Below are 11,945 nucleotides of genomic sequence, written 5' to 3' on the forward strand. Positions count from 1 at the left end.
TAGAACCTGCCTACCAGGTAAACAGGCAAAATCTTGTCAGGTATAAAGAGCTTCTCTTGGGGGCAGAGTCTGCTGGCTAGGAATTGCTGTGGAGTGGGGGTGTATCCAGGCTGGAGGGCACCCCCGGACTTCTCCCCAGGGAGAAAACAGATTGAGCCCTTCTCTCCATCTTCTCACCAGCTGTGGTTTCAGAGGCACTTCCAGCAGTCCTGACCCCACCTCAGGGTTTTCTCTTCCAAAGGGGCTACAGGATTGAGGTAGGGAGGGGCCCCAAGAGCCTCTGACTTCCCCCCAGATCACCAGGTAAACCCATGGGTCAGTGTCCAGCCCCTCTGCCCCAACATCAGCAACACAGCCCTCCATTCCAGGGCCCCTGTGTGTCCCCTTCCTCCTCCCCCCAGGAACATCCCCGGAGCAGCCCGCGTTAGAACAGGATCCCGACGGATCCCGTGCTGCCTCCCCTTCAGCCAGCGCCATCCTCTGTCCCCCAGGCCTCGCGGGCTGGGCTGCGTTTGGTTGAGCATTGACAAAGTCACCTCCATTCTCCTCCAAGAAAAGCCCACGAGAGACTCAGAGGCAAGTGCTCATAAAGAATCAAACACAAACCAAGCCCAGGTCCTGATCACGGGCACGGCCAATGTTTTTGTTCTTATTTTCCCTTTTCTCTGATCACACGTACAAACCAGAACCAACCCCACGTGCCTTAAGAAACACAGACCCAGGGGAGAGGGGTAGACCCCACGGAAGTGGCCATCGGTGTCAGGCCCCGTCTCAGGGACATCTTCCCCCGCCTGGTCACTGCAGGCAGGCTATGGCAGGTTCTGGGGTGGTTCACCCCTGCACCCTCAGCCCCACTGGGCTTTCTTCGAGGTGCTCTCCTGCCTGTGGGCCCAAACTGTTATTTAAAAGCCACCTCTGCCTCCCAGGGCACCCAGGTTGTGGCCAGCCCGTCTGTACATTCTTGGCACTGCTGAGGTGAGATGCATGAGGTCCCTGCTCACAGAACGAGGAGCCAGGCCATTACAGCTACAGGGTATCCAGGAAAGGCATCAGGTGGCGGGCAGGACAGCTGGCTTGCAGGGTGAGCCCCTCCTGGCCTCACTTTCCCCTCTTTAAATGAGGGTGCAGCTCATCTGAGAATAGGTAGGAAGGTGCCAGTGCTGGGAGGGGACTGGGTGGCTCTCTGGGCTCCTCACCGCGGCTGGTCCCTCGGGACTTCCATGATGGGCTCACGGAGGTGCGACTTCCTCCCAGATCCCTCGAGGACCCCCTACAGCCCAAACCTCCAGGAGCACCAGCGTGTGGGGGCTGGGAAGAGAGTGTCCTTCAATGCAGGTGTGCAGGTAGCCATGCACATGTGCGGGGTGAACAAAAGGCCCCTTCACTGTCACCTCCCCGGGGGCCGTAACTCAGGAGCCGAGCGTCCTCCTCTCCCTCCCACCGGTAGCAGCAGACTTGACCGCCAGGCTCTGAGGCCTGCACACCACGCTCGCCCACAGTGGGCTTTGTTTAGTCTGGGGGAAGCTCCGTTGACAGGGTTTCTGGGCGATGGGCTCTTTTTTCTTCCGAATTCTTCCAGAATTCTGTAGGCTGAAGACACCACGCGTGCAGCCTGAGGGGAGAGTAAATAACCCTGTGAAGTGGGGAAGTTCCTGCCTCTCCGGAGGGCTGCCATGGGTCAAGCTGTGCATGGTGAGAACTGGGGTAACTGGGGCGTGACACCTCTGCCCCCACAAGAAGCCCACTGAGACAGGACCTGCCCTCCCCAATCAGAAGAGCTTGTGCAGTGGAATGTTCCAGAAGGCCTGGGTGGGGCTGGGCAGGAGGAAGAGCCTCAGCAACCGCACTCCCATCCTAAGCTGGGGACTTGCCCGAAAGGACAGCTGGAGCCATTTTCAAGCCTCAGCCTGGGCGGTCATCTGCTCAGATCCACTCCGAGGGTCTCACTTCCTTACGTTCCGGAACCGTACGGGTCATGGTGGAGCGTCCTGGGGAAGTGGCTGTCGGCTTGGTTAATGGGTCCCTGCTGGCTGTGAGGCACACGACCAGTGCCCTCTGGAGCTGCCGTCCAGCCCCAGTTCCCATCTGCAGGGACCCAGAGTCACATTCGCCTCCTAGAGAGGTGCTCAGAGTCGTTATGGTCCGAGAGGCAGCCAGGGAGCTGCAGAAATGGACATAAACCCGTCCATTCTCCTGCAAACACTTCTCCTTCCTCCACTCTGTGCGGAACTGGGGCCGGGGGCAGAGGTAGGAATGGGCACAGCCTGGCCTTCCGGAGCCTGTCACTCAGTGGAGGAGGCGAGAGGCTCCACCAGCCCTAACCCGGGGCCTCGTGTTGCTGTTTGATGTGCAGGAGAGGAGAGAGGCCAAGAGGGAGCCAGGAGTGGCTTCCAACAGGGGGACCTGGCCCAAAGCCAGGGGAGGCCGTGGGTGCCTGTGAGGGCAGGGTGGGCACATGCCAGAGGTTGCCATGGGGGTCGTGTGTGGACCAGGATGGGCAGCCTGGATGCAGAGAGGGGCTGAGTAGGAAAGGATATGGCCGGGAAGGAGGGCTGATTTGTTTTCAGAAGAATCTTTTCGTGGAACTCTCGTGTGCCATTGTTAAGTGCAGATGTTCCTGGACTTGGAATGGGGACAAGTCCCGATAAACCCACTGCGAGTTGAAAATATCCTAAGTCAAAAACGCAGTTCACACACCAAACCCACCGAGCAGCACGGCTTAGCCTCACCCACCTTAACGCGCTCAGACACTCATATCAGCCTACAGCTGGGCAAACTCATCTAACACAAAGCCTATTTCAGGGTAAAGTGTTGGCTGTCCCACATAATTTATTGAATACTGTACTGAAAGTAAAAACCATAATGGCTGCGTGGGCCCTCAGTGTGCGGTTTCCACTGAATGCGCGCAGATCTCAGACCTCGTGGGGTGTAGGAGCCCTAAGGGGAGCGGTCAGCCCTTGTCCTCTGTCCGCTTTCTGCCCAGTGGCCCCTCCAGGTCCCGGCGTCTCCTTGGACTCACATTACCAGCATTTCTGTCCATTTCGGGTGAGACCCGAAGCAGCGAGACCCTATCCAGGTCAACGTCTGGTGAGAGGAATTTTTTTTTTTTTTTTTTTTTTTGACAGAATCTCGCTCTGTCACCCAGGCTGGAGTGCAATGGCGCGATCTTGGCTCGCTGCAACCTCCACCTCCTGGGTTTAAGCAATTCTCCTACCTTAGCCTCCTGAGTAGCTGGGACCTCAGGTGCCAGCCACCACACATGGCTAATTTTTGTATCTTTAGTAGAGACGGGGTTTTGCCATGTTGGCTAGGCTGGTCTCAAACTCCTGACCTCAGGTGATCCACCCACCTCAGTCTCCAAAAACGGTGGGATTGCAGGTGCGAACCACTGCGCCCGGCCTGATGAGAGGATTTTTGAGGACTGAGGGTGGCTTTATAGCAGGCAGGTAGGGAGCTGGTGGTGGCAGAAGGGATAAGAGAGGGGGATGAGGCTCCTGGCATCAAAATGAAGCTGGCACCAGGCCGACTCCTGCCCACAACACCACAGTCTGGAGCGGCAGGAAACAGGGGACAGGGAGGGAGTCAGGGAAGGGCTGCCCGATGGCAGGAAGGGACCAAGAGAAGAAAAAAAGTCCAGGGTCCCACATTCCAGGAGTAAAAAGGGAATAGAAGCCCCAAAGGGAGGCACAGCCAGACTGTATGGCAAGCTCCGCAGGGGCCAGACTGCATGGCAAGCTCCACAGGGGCCAGACTGCATGGCAAGCTCCGCAGGAGCCAGCTCTGCAGGGGCCAGACTGCATGGCAAGCTCCGCAGGGGAAGGCTCTGCAGGGAACAGCACGTCACCCAAGGTACACTAAGGAAGCTGCTGAGAGTTCTGCAGCACCAGGGCGATGGAAGTTCCAAGTGTGGGCCATGCACTAGAGAAGGCTTCTGAGAGCCAAACCTCTGGGGCTTGGGAATACGTGTAAGTGACAGCATCTTCCACTCCTTAAATCAGTAGATTCCCGTCAGGCATTGATCAGAGACCCTGAGTGTGCAGGGGACACTTTCCTCCGCAAATGCACCTCGTGTTCGAGTCCTGCACCCCTCTCCTTCCCTGACCTACTCCCATGGTTCTGAGCACTCAGAGCCTGTCTGCCTCCTTGAAGGCCAGAACGCACCAGCAGAGGCTCGAGCAGCCTCGCTGTCGGGAGGAGGGAAGCGCTGCAGGGCTGGGTGCCTCTGACGGCCGACACCAGCCTGGGAAATGAGCTTCGTTGCTCGATGGAGGCACTGAAGCTTTCACTTTACTTAGTTTTAATTAAGTTACATTGAATCCCCACCCCCCGGCCCGGAGAGGGCAGCCCCGGATGATGCCTTTGTGTCCCCACAGCACATTGTGAGTCCTCAACAATTGTGCTAGCAGCTTGGTTGTGTGGTTCCCAATTCATATCAGACACCCTTCCAGTCTTAGCTAAAGAGACTCTCCTGCTTGTTCAGTGCCAACATTCTGGTGGCTGAGGTCTGAGGACACTGCCTGGCCCTTGGTTCCTGGGGGTTGGTGAAGAAATGGGCAAAGGAATCTCCTAGAAATGCCAGTTCTGGAGCTGTAGGAGTCGTAGACCAAGGGGCCGTAGACCAAGGGGCTGTCTCATGCTTCTCCAACCACGTTTGGCCAAAAAGAGCTTTTGTCTTTGGACTTTTGCTTTGCTGTAAGTCCCTTCCGTAGCTCCGATGAGCCTGGTCCCAGCAGAGTGCTCTGGCCTTCAGGCTGGGTCTCCTCCCGTCCAGCCAGGGCTGTCTGGATGTGAAGGGTCTGACCTACAGGATCCGTAAATGGACTTCCTGGAATTTTGTCCTCGGACCAGCACTACCACCAAAACGCACACAGCATTTCTCTCCTCTCCCTCAAGACACTGGCTCGGCCCTTGTTGGAGATGCTGTGCTGTGGCCGTGATGTTTCCGATCCCAGTCGTGGTGGCTCTGCCCTGGTTGAAGATGCTGTGCTGTGGCCATGATGTTTCAGATCCCAGTCGTGGTGGCTCTGCCCTGGTTGAAGATGCCGTGCTGTGGCCGTGATGTTTCAGATCCCAGTCGTGGTGGCTCTGCCCTTGTTGAAGATGCTATGCTGTGGCCATGATGTTTCAGATCCCAGTCGTGGTGACTCTGCCCTTGTTGAAGATGCTATGCTGTGGCTGTGATGTTTCAGATCCCAGTTGTGGTGACTCTGCCCTTGTTGAAGATGCTATGCTGTGGCCGTGATGTTTCCGATCCCAGTCGTGGTGACTCTGCCCTGGTTGAAGATGCTATGCTGTGGCTGTGATGTTTCAGATCCCAGTCGTGGTGACTCTGCCCTTGTTGAAGATGCTATGCTGTGGCCGTGATGTTTCCGATCCCAGTCGTGGTGACTCTGCCCTGGTTGAAGATGCCGTGCTGTGGCTGTGATGTTTCAGATCCCAGTCATGGTGACTCTGCCCTTGTTGAAGATGCTATGCTGTGGCCGTGATGTTTCCGATCCCAGTCGTGGTGACTCTGCCCTTGTTGAAGATGCTATGCTGTGGCCATGATGTTTCCGATCCCAGTCGTGGTGACTCTGCCCTGGTTGAAGATGCTATGCTGTGGCTGTGATGTTTCAGATCCCAGTCGTGGTGACTCTGCCCTTGTTGAAGATGCTATGCTGTGGCCGTGATGTTTCCAATCCCAGTCGTGGTGACTCTGCCCTGGTTGAAGATGCCGTGCTGTGGCTGTGATGTTTCAGATCCCAGTCATGGTGACTCTGCCCTTGTTGAAGATGCTATGCTGTGGCCGTGATGTTTCAGATCCCAGTCATGGTGGCTCTGCCCTTGTTGAAGATGCTATGCTGTGGCCGTGATGTTTCCGATCCCAGTCATGGTGACTCTGCCCTTGTTGAAGATGCTATGCTGTGGCTGTGATGTTTCAGATCCCAGTCGTGGTGACTCTGCCCTTGTTGAAGATGCTATGCTGTGGCCGTGATGTTTCAGATCCCAGTCGTGGTGACTCTGCCCTTGTTGAAGATGCTATGCTGTGGCAGTGATGTTTCCGATCCCAGTCGTGGTGGCTCTGCCCTTGTTGAAGATGCTATGCTGTGGCCATGATGTTTCCGATCCCAGTCGTGGTGACTCTGCCCTTGTTGAAGATGCTATGCTGTGGCCATGATGTTTCCGATCCCAGTCGTGGTGACTCTGCCCTGGTTGAAGATGCTATGCTGTGGCTGTGATGTTTCAGATCCCAGTCGTGGTGACTCTGCCCTTGTTGAAGATGCTATGCTGTGGCCGTGATGTTTCCAATCCCAGTCGTGGTGGCTCTGCCCTGGTTGAAGATGATGTGCTGTGGCCGTGATGTTTCCGATCCCAGTCATGGTTTTCCAGCCTCAGGAGCACATCTCCTCCTCCAGCAATTCTTCGTTCCCTGGAGCCTCGGAACCGCGGTGCAACTGGGGTGCGTTTGTGCCAGGGAAAATGGATTCTGCCGGTGTCTGACTCTACCAAGATCCACGCATCATTGTTAGCATTTCCTTTCATTTCTCTTTGTTATTATTTGTCTTTTCCACCTTGTACCATCCCCCCGAACCCCATTTATGTGTGTGAAGTCAGTTACTCTACCCATTGAGCAAGAGCTGAGCAACCGTGTATGGAAATATCTTCCTTCAACCGCTTAGATCCCAGACCCAGACTTTTGTCCTTCAGCACCACGAATGAAGACTTGCTATCACCCTCGCTGTGGTGTTATCTGTTTGCTTTTGGCACTTATCACCTGGAAGGCAGTCCCCGTTTTCTCGTCTCCACCAAGGGAGCTTGTCAAGTGCAAGGCTGCACTCCTTGACCCCACCAAACCTGACATGAAGTGAGGTTCAAGAAATGTTTGGGCCGGGCACAGTGGCTCATACCTGTAATCCCAACACTTTGGGAGGATAAAGAGGGCAGATTGCTTGAGTCCAGGAGTTTGAGACCCACCTGGGAAACCTAGCAAGACCCTGTCTCTACAAAAAAATTAAAAATTAGCTGGATGTGATGGCATGTACCTGTAGTCCTAGCTACTCAGGAGGCTGAGGTTGGAGGATTGCTTGAGTTCTGGAGGTCAAGGCTGCAGTGAGCTGTGATATTGCACCACTGCCCTCCAGCCTGGGCAACAGAGCAAGATCCCATCTCAAAAAAAAAAAAAAAAAGAAAAAAAAAAAGGAAGGAAGGAGGAAAAGAAAGCTTGCCAAACAAATGAATAAATGAAAAGCCAATAAATGCATTTGTAGTTGGGGATATGTGCTTTAGAGAAAAGGGGATGTTAGATTTGGTCATTTTAAGTGACTCCTTTATTAAACCCTTGGTTGTCTTTGTATTTTTAAAAGAAGACGTCTCGGTGACCCAGTGCTGAGGCTGACACCTCTGGCGGAGCCCAGCTTCCTTTAGCAAGGGCTCTGTAAGACCCAACTACAGACTGTGTCCAGGGCTCGAAAAACGTCCGGTGGGCAGGACAGGGGATAGAGAAGGTCTGGCCAGAAAACTGGATTTTGCTCTGTGTCTGTTGGCTTGTTACTAACCCCAAGCAAAGCCACTGTCCCAAGCTGGCCCAGACATCCAGGGTGTACCCAGGCACACAGGGGCACACACCACACCTGAGCCACATTCTGTGTTTTCCTGTGTGCTCCAGGCCTCCAGAGGAGCTCCCAGCCATTGGATTCTGTGGAAGTATCTCCTGACGCCCCCTGTTTGAGGCCCTTCCCGTGGAAATCCATCTGGCGCGTGTTGGTCACCGGGGGACTGCTGACTTAGCTCCAGCAGAATTTGGAGGGCCTTTTGGCTACATGAGAGTGCAGTTTGTTCTGTTGATATAAGTAGACGGTTCATTCTCATTATGCTCAGCTGCAGTTCTCTTCTATGCAGTTGCCAGGAATGCTGAATTAGCAGGTCCTAAACTGTTGCTCCTAGGAGAGATACTGTGTTAGGTTCCTGCAAGCTTCTGGTCACATTTTCATCTACTGGTCAATAAACAACCTTATTCTACATGTGGTTCTGCTTAGAAACCCCTTATCTAACACAGGCGTCTCCGAGATTTCCCGGGGTTGGTTCCAGATCATCACAATGAAGTAAATATTGCAACAAAGCCAGTGACGCAAATGTTTTGGTCTACCATACCGTAGTATGTGCAGTGTGCAATATATGGTGCCTAAAAACAGTGTAGATACTTTAATTTACAAGTACTTTGTTGCCAAAAAAAAGGTGACGGTGGCATGCAGTAAGCACCTGCTGTTAGAAGAATGGCACCAGTAGACTTGTTGGATTCAGGGTTGCCCCAAAGTATCCATTGTTGCCACAAAGTATCCATTTGTTAAAAAAAAAATGCAATATTGCAAAGCACAGTAAAGAGAAGCTCAATGAAATGAGGTGTGCCTGGATACATTGTCGAGCCATCCTCACTGTAACTCAGCCTGAACCAAGCTGCCCTAAGACATGTAATTCTACATCAGGCACCTTGCAGCCTCTCTGTGCCTGGGAACTGCAGACAACACTTTAGCACTGTGCGTGGGGCCATTTTAAACAGTGAAATCGGCCACAAAAAAACCAAACGTGGAAAACATGGCACTAAGTAGACTAGAAAGAACACCTGGTCACAGTGCGAGAGCTGAGACAAGAGGGTGGAGAAGACCCCAGCTGGGAGCACACATGCCAGACAACCCGGGTCCTTCACCCCTCGGTGCAAGTCCAGGAATGGCCTTGGGTGCACTTCATGTATTGATTTGGGGGTCACAAAGACATCTTAGCAAGTAGGCAAATTCAGGAATATAAAATCTGGGTATAATGAGGCTCAACTGTATAAATAAAAACCTATATAATATATATCAGTTTTATTGATATATACACTTATATATATCAGCTTTATAATACATATATGTCAGTTTTACTGAGACGTAATTCACATACCATATAATTTTCCCTTTGGAAGTGTTAGTTTTTGGTCACAGAGTGGCACACCACACCACTGTCTAATCTTAGAGCATTTCCATCCCCCCAGAAAGAAACCTCTGACCATTAGCAGCCCCTCCCAGTTTCTCCTCTCCCCCCAGCCCCTGGTAATCATGAATGTCCTCTCTGTCTCTGTGGATTTGCCTCTTCCAGACATTTCCTGTAAGTGGGACTATACAATGTGCCATCCTCAGGACCTGGCTTCTCTGCTCAGCATAGGGTTTCTGAGGTTTTGCCACGGTGAACACGCGTCAGTCTCCCACTCCTTTTTATGGCCCAATAATATTCCATTGCATGAAACCCACATTTTCTGTCTGCGTCCAAATGTCCACTAATGGACATTTGGTTGCCTTTCGCCGTTGGGAAGAGTGCCGTGGTGACCGTCCCAAGACAAGTGTTTGTGTCGAGAGACATCTTCATTACTCTTGGCCGTATTCTTAGGAATGGCATTACCAGGTCATCCAATGGCTTTGTTTAACTTTTTGAGGAACTGTCAGACTGTTCTCCATGGCGGCTGCACCGGTTCACATTCCCACCAGTAGTGTGAGGGTCCTAACTTCCCCACATCCTTGCAGACGCCCGCCTGTCTTTCGGACCGCAGCCATCCTGTGGGGTGCGGTGCATCTCACTGGGACTCTGTGCCTTCTGAGGGATGTGCTGGGGAGCGCAGGAGGCCGTGGGCTCTTTAATCCTTGGGGACAGTGACATGAGACCCCAGCCAAGCCCTGGTGTGCATGCTGGGGAGTGCAGGAGGCTGTGGGCTCTTTAATCCTTGGGGACAGTGACACAGGACCCCAGCCAAGCCCTGGTGTGCCTTCTGAGGGATGTGCTGGGGAGCGCAGGAGGCCATGGGCTCTTTAATCCTTGGGGACAGTGACATGGGACCCCAGCCAAGCCCTGGTGTGCATGCTGGGGAGTGCAGGAGGCTGTGGGCTCTTTAATCCTTGGGGACAGTGACACAGGACCCCAGCCAAGCCCTGGTGTGCCTTCTGAGGGATGTGCTGGGGAGCGCAGGAGGCCGTGGGCTCTTTAATCCTTGGGAACAGTGACACGGGACCCCAGCCAAGCCCTGGTGTGCCTTCTGAGGGATGTGCTGGGGAGCGCAGGAGGCTGTGGGCTCTTTAATCCTTGGGGACAGTGACACAGGACCCCAGCCAAGCCCTGCAGTCCTGGTTGGTCATATCTGTGTGAGCAACGCTGCCTCTGAGAGAGTGGGGAGAATAGAAGGCAATCTTCCAGTCAGCTTTCCCTTAACAAGTGATCTCTATTCGCTGAAACCACATTTGCAGCCTCAGACAAATGCCTGCCCCGTTTTATACGAACAATGAAAGCCTGCATTGCATCCTTGGCGTCACGGAGCTACTGCCCTCAGCTGCCTGTCCACACGAGGAGCACAGCCTGGAGCACATTGCGTTGTTGGTGTCACGGAGCCACTGGCCTCAACTGCATGTCCACACGAGGAGCACGGCCTGGAGTGCATTGCTTTATGTCCCCACATAGGTTTTTTGTGTGCATTGATGACAGCGCAAATAAGGGAGGGCAGTGTCGGTGTCTCTGTGAGCACGTCTGATGGCTCCCAACAGACACTCGCTGTCCCCTTCGCTCCCTGCAGGGGCCAATGCTCTGGAATTCTCTAGATACAGCAGGAGGTGGTCTCAGGACACCGTGCCGCCCCTGTGGCCTCCTCCTCCTCAGCCCTAGCACCACAGTTGTGGAGGAGCCCAAGGAGGTGGCCTCCCAGGTGGACCCTATTCCTTCATAGCCTGCCCTCCGCTGCCACCCAGGACTGGGGGCCCATGTCCCTGGTGCCCGGCGTCTGTGTCCCCAGCTGAAGCTGGACAGTGCTCTGCCCTCCTGTGCACTTCTGACCAATCGAGTGAACTGTGTTGAGAAACGGATGATGGGTGGTTGAGAAACACACATGTGCAGTGCTCCCAGCCGGAAAGCCTGTGTAGTGCTCCAGGCCGGAAAGCCTACAGGTGCCAGCAGGGGAAGCTGGCACCTGCCCTCCAAGCAGCAGTGAAATGATGTGGTCCTTTTGTTCAAGAACATTTCCATGAAGATTTACAAAGGACCTGTCCCAGAAGAGGTTCCCACAGACACTGAAATAACAAAATGTCAGCCGCATCTCCGCAGGCCCCCGGGAACCACACGTGCAGAGTCCGGCACATGCAGGGACCTGATGGGACGGGGACCTGCAGTTGCCCCGCAGCCCCTGCCCGTGCAGGGGGCCCAGGTGCCCAGGCCCCGCCTCGCTGTGCTGCCTCCAGCTGGTGTTTATTTTCAGACACCTAGGGCCCGATCCATGGTTACTGCCCAGCTCCATGTTAGGTGTAAGCGGATGCTCCTTTGGTGACCATTTCCCATCTGTTTGCCCACTCGTCCACAGCCTCCCACATGCAGGTAATGATGTTGGCTGAAACTTGTTATTCGAATGGAAGTTGATCAGTTGATAAAATCCTTCGTGGAGTCAACATAGCTGAATGCTTCAGCTGTCAAAGGCCCCCTGGCAGGGCAGAAAGCGCCCCGTGGAAAACGGTGGGGAATTGTGGAGCAGGCAGGACTGCCAGGCCCAGCTCCGCGACTTTTGCAAGTTTGGGATCCACATCACATGCATGCCTCATCTCCACAGACTGCTGGCAGCTTCGCCTATCAGAACAGGACTGAGATCCAGGATGCGAGAAGGGAACCCTTCCGGGTGATGCCCGTGCTGCTTTTCTGCCCATTTATTTGCTGATTCACTCATTGACTTAACACTTTGCCACTAGCCACCTATGCCAGGCACTGGCCTGGGCCCCAGTGACACTCTCTGCATCCTCCTCAAGGTCACGTGCTGGGTACAGTCCCAAGCTCGAGGCATCCTTGGCACAGCACTCCATCTCTGCTGGGATGAGACAGCCTTTCTCAGAGACCACTTCCCTCCAGGTTGTGAACGGTTCTAACCATTCAGCTCTCTGATCTCTGCAGCTCCAGCACATCACAAGCAA

The 11,945-nt window shown here is 54.1% G+C and overlaps 2 protein-coding genes across 3 annotated transcripts in view, besides 5 other annotated features; both read left to right on the forward strand.

Moving 5' to 3' along the window:
* Positions 1-3,092, forward strand: part of LOC124903828 (collagen alpha-5(IV) chain-like) — a 30,331-nt gene extending 27,239 nt beyond the window's left edge. Inside the window, exon 2 of the mRNA XM_047436627.1 lies at positions 18-3,092. The gene's annotated coding sequence lies outside the window, so the exon portion shown is untranslated. The remainder of the gene's footprint in view (positions 1-17) is intronic.
* PRDM16 (PR/SET domain 16) overlaps positions 1-11,945 on the forward strand; it is a 369,419-nt gene that overhangs the window by 224,981 nt on the left and 132,493 nt on the right. The gene's annotated exons all lie outside the window — the stretch shown is intronic.
* Positions 1,715-2,215: an enhancer, noted in NCBI's record as "H3K4me1 hESC enhancer chr1:3212462-3212962 (GRCh37/hg19 assembly coordinates)". NCBI's record gives its function as "activates a minimal SCP1, AML or CMV promoter by ChIP-STARR-seq in primed H9 embryonic stem cells {active_cell/tissue: H9 hESC(primed)}" and the evidence as "EXISTENCE:reporter gene assay evidence [ECO:0000049][PMID:30033119]".
* Positions 5,123-6,322: an enhancer, noted in NCBI's record as "BRD4-independent group 4 enhancer chr1:3215870-3217069 (GRCh37/hg19 assembly coordinates)". NCBI's record gives its function as "activates an origin of replication core promoter dependent on BRD2, P300/CBP, MED14 and CDK7 cofactors, and independent of BRD4, by STARR-seq in HCT116 cells {active_cell/tissue: HCT116}" and the evidence as "EXISTENCE:reporter gene assay evidence [ECO:0000049][PMID:35650434]".
* Positions 9,165-9,334: an enhancer, noted in NCBI's record as "experimental_6721 CRE fragment used in MPRA reporter constructs". NCBI's record gives its function as "activates a minimal promoter by MPRAs in K562 erythroleukemia cells, with activity observed for the non-introgressed 1:3219997 or rs12566936 variant allele {active_cell/tissue: K562}" and the evidence as "EXISTENCE:reporter gene assay evidence [ECO:0000049][PMID:34662402]".
* Position 9,250: a transcriptional cis regulatory region, noted in NCBI's record as "Neanderthal adaptively introgressed variant 1:3219997 (GRCh37/hg19 assembly coordinates) or rs12566936 in the experimental_6721 CRE". NCBI's record gives its function as "modulates activity of the experimental_6721 enhancer by MPRAs in K562 erythroleukemia cells {active_cell/tissue: K562}" and the evidence as "EXISTENCE:reporter gene assay evidence [ECO:0000049][PMID:34662402]".
* Positions 9,984-10,541: an enhancer, noted in NCBI's record as "H3K27ac-H3K4me1 hESC enhancer chr1:3220731-3221288 (GRCh37/hg19 assembly coordinates)". NCBI's record gives its function as "activates a minimal SCP1, AML or CMV promoter by ChIP-STARR-seq in primed H9 embryonic stem cells {active_cell/tissue: H9 hESC(primed)}" and the evidence as "EXISTENCE:reporter gene assay evidence [ECO:0000049][PMID:30033119]".

This window comes from Homo sapiens, chromosome 1 (assembly GCF_000001405.40).
Source record: "Homo sapiens chromosome 1, GRCh38.p14 Primary Assembly".
Lineage (NCBI taxonomy): Eukaryota > Metazoa > Chordata > Mammalia > Primates > Hominidae > Homo > Homo sapiens.